Source organism: Homo sapiens, chromosome 11 (assembly GCF_000001405.40).
Source record: "Homo sapiens chromosome 11, GRCh38.p14 Primary Assembly".
NCBI lineage: Eukaryota > Metazoa > Chordata > Mammalia > Primates > Hominidae > Homo > Homo sapiens.
The window spans coordinates 118,849,667-118,858,470 of record NC_000011.10 but is presented as its reverse complement, the minus strand read 5'-3'; the positions used below and the strand labels follow the sequence as shown (position 1 = coordinate 118,858,470).

The window sequence follows — 8,804 nt, the reverse complement described above, 5'->3', positions numbered from 1 at the left end:
GGGCGACAGAGTAAGACTCCGTCTCAAAAAAAAAAAAGAAGAAAATTGGGTTTGAATCTGACTTTGCCACTTCCTGAACATGTCACTGCTATGGACTGCATGGTGTCCCCTCAGATTCATATGTTGAGGCCCTCCCCTTCTCCTCCCCGTCTCCTTTCCCCACCCCCTGCCCAGCACAAAGGAAAGGGCACTTCATGAAGACACAGCGAGAAGGTGGCCATCTACAAACCAGGGAGAAAGCCCTTGCCCAAAGCTGAACCCTGCCAGAACCTTCCAGCCTCTAGAACTGTGAGAAGATATTGATAAATTTCTGTTGTACAAGCCACTCAGTCTGTAGTATTTTGTATGGCAGCCCGAGCAGACTAAGGCTGCCATCTTGGGAAACCTTCCTAACATCTCGTAGCCTCTGTTTCTTCCTCCTGTAAAATGGGAGTAAGAATATCATTTACAGCATCCTTATGAGTATTAAAGGAAATAGTATATGTCAAACACTCAGCAGAATGCCTGGCCCATAACAGTTGTTCAACAAATGACGATTACAGTGATAACAACTGCACCACTGGGCAAAAATCTGTAGAAAGACCAATGGAACAGAACAGATAACCCAGAAACAGACCTCAGCATTTCCATAAGCTCCAGGAGTGCAGAGAAAGTCTATGTTTGTACTCACCATTGTGTCATTTTCCCCATGCCTAACATATATAGGGCATACAGGAAGTGCTTAAAAAGTGTATGTTGTATTAGAATTTCATACACATGGCTGGGCATGGTGGCTTACACCTGTAATCCCAGCACTTTAGGAGGCCCAGGTGGGAGAATGACGTGAGCTCAGGAGTCCCAGGCCAGCCTGGGCAACGTCGCGAAACCCCATCTGTACAAAAAATACAAAAATTAGCCAGGCATGGTGGCACGTGCCTGTAGTCCCAGCTTAAGCCTGGGAGGTTGAGGCTGCAGTGAGCTAAGATTGTGCCACTGCACTCCAGCCTGGGGTATAAAGTGAGACTCTGTCTCAAAAAAACCCCAAAATGTAATACATGCTAAAGAAGGACTCATAAATCAGTGGTGAAAGAGAAGACTAGTCTTTCAATAATACTGGGAAAATTGCTTACAGTTTTGGACTAAAATAACCAGATTTTATTATTTCATTTTATAAAGAGGCTTTTAAACCTTTTTGGACTATGACCCACAGTAAGAAATATGTGGAACATCTCGCCTGAATATAAATTAATAATTAAAACAAAAGTTTATAAAGCAATATTTATCCTTATTATGTCAGATGGACTCTGATCTATTCTATTCTATTCTATTCTATTCCTATATTATTAAAAAGAAAATTCTGGTGTCTGCCCAGTAAATTGATCTAATAACTCACTAGTGAATAGCTACCAGTAGTTTGAAGAATATTTCTTATACCAAAATTAATTTTTAATTTAAAAAAAGAAAAAATTATAGGTAAATAATATGAGAGTTTATTTATTTATTTATTTTTGAGACAGAGTCTTGCTCTGTATGTCACCCATACAGTACAGTAGCACCATCGGCTCACTGCAACCTCCGCCTCCCGGGTTCAAGCTATTCTCCTGCCTCAGCTTCCCGAGTATCTTGGATTATAGGCATGCACCACCACACCTGGCTAATTTTTTTATTTTTAGTAGAGACGGGGTTTCACCATGTTGGCCAGGCTGGTCTCGAACTCCTGACCTCAAGTGATCTGCCCGCCTCCGCCTCCCAAAGTGCTGGGATTACAGGCATGACCCACTGAGCCGGCCAAATAATAGGAGGTTTTGAAATGAGAAATGACTTGAGATTTTAAAAATAATGAAAAAAATAACAAAGGCAAACATCAACAAATTTGAGAACACCAACATTTTAAATATGTTATAGGGACCACATATGGCAAAGGCAGCTATGACAGACAGGATGTGGTCATCACTGGAGAGAAGAGGCCAGTTATTCTTGACATCTCTTTCTTCCTCATATTCGCCCACATGGAACCCAACAGCAAGTCCCGCAGATGCTGCCTCCATTCGTGCACTTTCTCCCTGGCCACAGGGAGATCTTAGTCCAGACCTGATCTTAGCCCTGATCTTAGTCCAGACCATCATTCTCTCACTCTGGGACTGCTGCCCCTACCTCCCAGCTAGTCTCCCTGCTTCCACTGTGCACCCCACAATCCTTTCTGCTCACAGCAGCCAGAGTCATCTTTTTTTTTTTTTTTTTTTTTGAGACAGGGTCTCACTATGTTGGCCAGGCTAGTCTCAAACTCCTGGTCTCAAGCGATGCTCCTTCCTCGGCCTCCCAAAGTGCCGAGATTGCAGTCATGAGCTACCATGCCCGGCCAAGAGTAATCTTTTTGAAGTATAAATTAAATCACTCTCAGTAATCCAATTAAGAAACTGGCAAATGAAAAATCTTACAAGTGCTGAATCTTCTGTCTGTCTGTATTTATATGTGTTGTGTGTGTGTGTGATGTTTATACATAAAAGAGCTCTGATTAATTGGCAGCAGGCAAGGTGAACCCCTTGGGCGGTTACAGAATGGAAGAGCGGGACTTGACTGTGACAGGCCAGACCTCTCTGCACTTCCACATTCCGAGGAGAAACTGAGGAGTCCAAGAATTCTAAATTCCAGCTGGCTTCCTAGTTCTTTTTTTATTTTTTATTTTCCAAGATGGAGTTTTGCTCTTGTCACCCAGACTGGAGTGCAGTGGCGTGATCTCGGCTCACTGCAACCTCCGCTTCCCAGGTTCAAGGGACTCTCCGGCCTCAGCTTCCCGAGTAGCTGAGATTACAGGCACACCACCACGCCCAGCTAATTTTTGTATTTTTAGTAGAGACGGGATTTCACCATGTTGGTGACAGGCGGGCACCTGTAATCTCAGTTACTCGGGAGGCTGAGGCAGGAGAGTCATCTGAATCCGGGAGGTGGACGTTGAGTGAGATTGTGCCATTGCACTCCAGCCTGGGTAACAGAGGGAGACTCCGTCTCACAAAAGAAAAAGCAAAACAAAAAAGCAAAAAACAAAACACAGCACTTTGTAGATTCCCAGGATTTTAGGAGTTGTATGCTGGGAAATGGTGATAAAGACCAAATATATATTTCAGAATATCACAGGAGGATAAACCATATTTGGTCTAATAGTCTCTTTATAACTTGTAACTATCAGGTATATGGTCTATGAGCCTCCATCTGTATTCTCGCCCAAGCTTTGGCTTTTGGTAGAGACAGGCTTGGCTGCATGGAGGTCTTGGGCCGGGTTCTTCTTCTTGGGGAATCCAGGGGATGCACACACACAGACCCTTGGAGCTTGAGCCCCAACAGAAAATTGACCCTGAAATCTTTGAAGCTTTTATAGGAATGGAGAGGAAATGAAATTTGTCATTTCAAAGCTGAAGTTAATCCATTTTCATTCTAGGAAAACCCTCTGGAAGGGACTTTTAGTTATGTACCTGTAGGGCAGAACTCCTCTTCTGAAATGGAGATGCCTGTGGCCCTGGGGCTCCATGGAGCACCCCTCCTGTGGTCAGCTGATGAAAGGGCCTGTGTTGTAGGCAGAAAGGTGCCTCTTCGGATCAGGTTTCCCTTTAAAATTTTTGATACAGGCCAGGAATGGTGGCTCACGCCTGTAATCCCAGCACTTTGGGAGGCTGAGGTGGCTGGATCACCTGAGGTCAGGAGTTTGAGACCAGCCTGGCCAACATGGCGAAACCCCGTCTCTACTAAAAATACCAAAAAAAAAATCAGCCAGGCATGGTGGTGCGTGCCTGTAATCCCAGCTACCTGGGAGGCTGAGGCAGGAGAATTGCTTGAACCTTGGAGGCAGAGGTTGCAGTGAGCCAAGGTCACGCCATTGCACTCCAGCCTGGGCAACAGAGTGAGACTCAGTCTTAAAAAAAAAAAAAAAATTGGCCGGGTGAGGTGGCACACACCTGTAATCCCAGCACTTTGGGAGGCCGAGTCAGGGGTGGATCATGAGGTCAAGAGATCAAGATCATCCTGGCCTACATGGTGAAACCCCATCTCTACCAAAAATAGAAAAATTAGCTGGGTGTGGTGGCGCACACCTGTAGTCCCAGCTACTCGGGCGGCTGAGGCAGGAGAATGGCTTGAACCCAGGAGGCGGAGGTTGCAATGAGCCAAGATCATGCCATTGCACTCCAGCCTGGCAACATAGAGAGACTCTATCTAAAAAAAAAAAAAAAAATTGAGACAAAATACAATTTATACAATTAATATTTAATAAATGATTATTATGTGCCAGATACTATGATAAGCACTTGATATGAATTATCTCACTCAGCCTTCATAATACCCAATATTACTTTCATTATATAAATGAAATGAGCAAACTGAGGTTCATAGAGTTTAAGTAACTTGTGCAGTGGGCATGCATTTGGCAAGTGACAGAGAAGGGATTTGTACCTACACCTGACTCCAGAGCCTATTCTCTGCCTCCATCATCCTCTGGAATTTTTTCAGGTCATTAATGGAGTGAGTAATTTTCCCAGACTGTCAGAGGGGTTTGAACCAGAGCGACTCCATCTTGAATAGGGGCTGGGTAAAATGAGACTCAGACCTACTGAACTACGTTCCTAGGAGGCTAGGCATTCTAGTCACAGGAATAGACAGGAGGTCAGCACAAGATACGGGTCATAAAGGCCTTGCTGATAAAACATGTTGCAGGTGGCTGGGCGCGGTGGCTCACGCCTGTAATCCCAGGACTTTGGGAAGCCGAGGCGGGCGGATCACGAGGTCAGGAGTTCGACCTGGCCAACATGGTGAAATCGCTACTAAAGATACCAAAAATTAGCTGGGCATGGTGGCGTGCGCCTTTTGCTACTCGGGAGGCTGAGGCAGGAGAATCACTTGAACCCAGGAGAATGGCTTGAACCCGGGAGGCGGAGGTTGCTGTGAACACTCCAGCCTGGGCGACAGGGAGAGACTCTGTCTCAAAAACAAACAAACAAACAAACAAACAAAAAACACACGTTGCAGTGAAGAAGCCAGCCAAAACCCACCAAAACCAAGATAGTGACAAGAGTGACCTCTGGTTGTCCTCACTGCTCATTATACGCTAATTATAAAGCATTAGCATGCTAAAAGACACACCCACCAGCGCCATGACAGTTACAAATGCCATGGCAACATCAGGAAGTTACCCTATATGGTCTCGAAAGGGGAGGAGGCCGGCGCGGTGGCTCACGCCTGTAATCCCGGCACTTTGGGAGGCCGAGGCGGGTTGATCACGAGGTCAGGAGATCGAGACCATCCTGGCTAACATGGTGAAACCTCGTCTTTACTAAAAATACAAAAAATTAGCCTGTGGTGGCGAGCGCCTGTAGTCCCAGCTACTTGGGAGGCTGAGGCAGGAGAATGGCGTGAACCTGGGAGGCGGAGCTTGCAGTGAGCCGAGATCGCGCCACTGCACTCCGGCCTGGGTGACAGAGCGAGACTCCGTATAAAAATAAATAAATAAATAAATAAATAAATAAATAAAATAAATAAATAAATAAAAATAAATTTAAAAAAATAAAAAGGGGAGGAACCCTCAGTTCTGGGAATTGCCCACTCTTTTCCCAGAAAACTCATGAATAATCCACCCCTTGCTTAGCATATAATCAAGAAGTAACAGTAAGTATCCTCGGTCGAGCAGCTCAAGCCACTGCTCTGCCTATGGAGTAGCCATTCTTTTATTCCTTTGCTTTCTTTTTGTGGACTTTCACTTTGTGGACTTGCCTCAAATTCTTTCTTGCGCATGGTCCAAGAACCCTCTCTTGGGGTCTGGATCGGGACCCCTTTCCGGTAACAAGATTAGAATGCCATTCTTGACTGACTTAGACCGGAGCAGAATAGGAGAAATCATCACCTTCTTGAAGTGTGTGCCAGTCGGGGCCATCCTTGCTGATCTTGGGAGGAACTTCTCTCTTGACCCAAGAGGGAAGGGATGGAATCATTTCACAAGGCACAAAGACACCGTCTTGGCGACAAGCAGGAAGAAGCCATGACCCGTTCTTCCTGTGGGCCAGGCCAGGAAGAGTTGAGTCCCAGGTGGCCATGCCAAGTTCCAAAGGGTGATGTTGAAGAAGACTGCAAGTGATGCTGAGATTGAGCTCTAGTGTTTTACAGAAGCAAGCAGACCCCTGGACAGAGGCCTCTTGACAGAGCAAACTGCTGGGGGCAAGCAGTGTTCAGAGAGTCAGAGCAAATGTGAGAATGGCTGGAGCAAAGAAAATGTAACTACTCCCTCCTCTACCCACCCCTCCTCCAAGTAACCCTCAGCCCGTCTGTCCCAGTTCAATGGTTACACTTCTTGACATTATGTTACAAGCTGTTGGTTCATATTTAGCTTGTGGTTGGCCTAAACCACCAGATCTTTTTCATACAAACTGCTATCTGGCCAGTTCCTTCCATCCCATGCTTCTAGTACACGTGCAACTAATTTAAAATAAAGCAAAACGTAAATGCAAGATATCCCACATACAATTTAATTCTGTTTGATTCTGGTCAGCTGAAATAATTAAAAGTTTTAATTCTGTCATCTTTTGTAATAATTCCCTTCCCAGTTTGCATCATCTGCCAAAGTGGTAAACATTGATTATTTTGTCCTAGCAGGTAGTGAGAATGCTGAACAGGACCAAGCAGAGTCCTCTGGCATAATGCTACAACAGGGGTCCCCAAAGTGTGGTCTGGGAATATCAGAGGTCCCAGAGACCCTTTCAGCGGGTCTGTGAAATCTAAACTATTTTCATTGATTGATTGATTGATTGATTGAGACGGAGTCTCGTTCTGTCGCCCAGGGTGGAGTGCAATGGCACGATCTCAGCTCAACGCAACCTCTGTCTTTCCGGTTCAAGAGATTCTCCTGCCTCAGCCTCCCAGTGGCTGGGATTACAGGCACCTGCCACCATGCCCAGCTAATTTTTGTATTTTTAGTAGAGACAGGGTTTCCCCATGTGGGTCAGGCTGGTCTCGAACTCCCAACCTCAGGTGATACACCCGCCTTGGCCTCTCAAAGTGCTGGGATTACAGGCGTGAACCACTGCACCCAGCCCCAAAATTTTTTTTTTTTGAGACGGAGTCTCGCTCTGTCGCCCAGGCTGGAGTGCAGTGGCGCAATCTCGGCTCACTGCAAACTCCAACTCCCGGGTTCATGCCATTCTCCTGCCTCAGCCTCCTGAGCAGCTGGGACTATAGGTGCCCGCCACTACGCCCGGCTAATTTTTTGTATTTTTAGTAGAGACGGGGTTTCACTGCGTCAGCCAGGATGGTCTCGATCTCCTGATCTCGTGATCCACCCGCCTCGGCCTCCCAAAGTACTGGGATTACAGGCGTGAGCCACCGCGCCCGGTCCCAAAAATTTTTTTTAAAAAAGAAAATAAGCCGGGCATGGTGGTTAACGCCTGTAATCCCAGAACTTCGAGAGGCCGAGGCAGGCAGATCACCTGAAGTCAGGAGTTCAAGACCAGCCTGACTAACATGATGAAACCCCGTCTCTACTGAAAATACAAAAATTAGCCGAGTGTGGTGACAGATGCCTGTAATCCCAGCTACTTGGGAGGCTGAGGCAGGAGAATTGCTTGAACCTGGAAGGCAGAGATTGCGATGAGCCGAGATCGCGCCACTGCATTCCAGCCTGGGCAAAAATAGTGAAACTCTGTCTCAAAAAGAAAAGAAAAGAAAAAAAATTTGGACTGAGCACAGTGGCTCATGCCTATAAGCCCAGCACTTTGGGAGGCCAAGGCAGGCAGATCCCTTGAGGCCAGGAGTTCAAGACCAGCCTGGCCAACATGGTGAAACCCCATCTGTACTAAAAATATAAAAATTAGGCCAGGCACAGTGGCTCACACCTGTAATTCCAGCTTCTTAGGAGGCTGAGGCAGGAGAATTGCTTGAATCCGGGAGGCGGAGGCTGCAATGAGCTGAGATCGTACCACTGCCCTCCAGCCTGGCAACAGAGCAAGACTCCATCTTAACAAAATAATAATAATAAAAAATTATCTGTGAACTGTTATAGTGCTTACATGCCATTTTCACTCTTGTTCTATCACAAAATGTGGAATGTTCCAGAGGCTACAGAATGACTGATATCACACTAGACTACATGCAGCACCAGTTATGAGAATCCAGCTGTCTTCTGTGAAGCCAGAGATGAATAAGATTTGTAAAAATGTAAAACAAAGCTGCTCTTTTCTCACCAACTTCTTTTTCCTTTTGAAATGTAGTTGTGTTTCATAAAAGTGTTTGAGTATGTTTGGGCTGCTATAACAAAATACCTTAGGCTGAGTAATATATAAACAACAGAAATTTATTTTTCACAATTCTGGAGATCGGGAAGTCCATGATCAAGGTGTCAGCAATTTTGGTGTCTGGTGAAAGCCTGTTCCTCATAGATGGCTCCTTCTTTGTGTCCTCACAAGGTGTGAGGAGCAAGGAAGCTCCTTCAAGCCTCTTTTACAAAGGCACTAATCCCTCGATAAGGGTGGAACCTTCATTACCTAATTACCTCCCAAACACCCCGCCTCTTAATATCATCACCTTGGGGATTAGGTTTCAACATATGAATTTTGGGGAGTACGCCAACATTCAGATACTAGCAAAAGTTATTTATGTATGTTATTTATGTTGACACACAATGAGTTTATTATTATTTTATTCTGTTTTTTGAGACAGAGTCTCACTCTGTCGCCCAGGCTGGAGTGCAGTGGCGCGATCTCGGCTCACTGCAACCTCCGCCTCCCAGGTTCAAGCAATTCTCCTGCTCAGCCTCCTGAGTAGCTGGGACTATAGGCGCCCACCACCATGCC

The 8,804-nt window shown here is 45.7% G+C and overlaps 1 annotated feature.

Moving 5' to 3' along the window:
* Nucleotides 1,957-2,046: an enhancer, noted in NCBI's record as "active region_5604". NCBI's record gives its function as "activates an Ori minimal core promoter by ATAC-STARR-seq in GM12878 lymphoblastoid cells {active_cell/tissue: GM12878}" and the evidence as "EXISTENCE:reporter gene assay evidence [ECO:0000049][PMID:35858748]".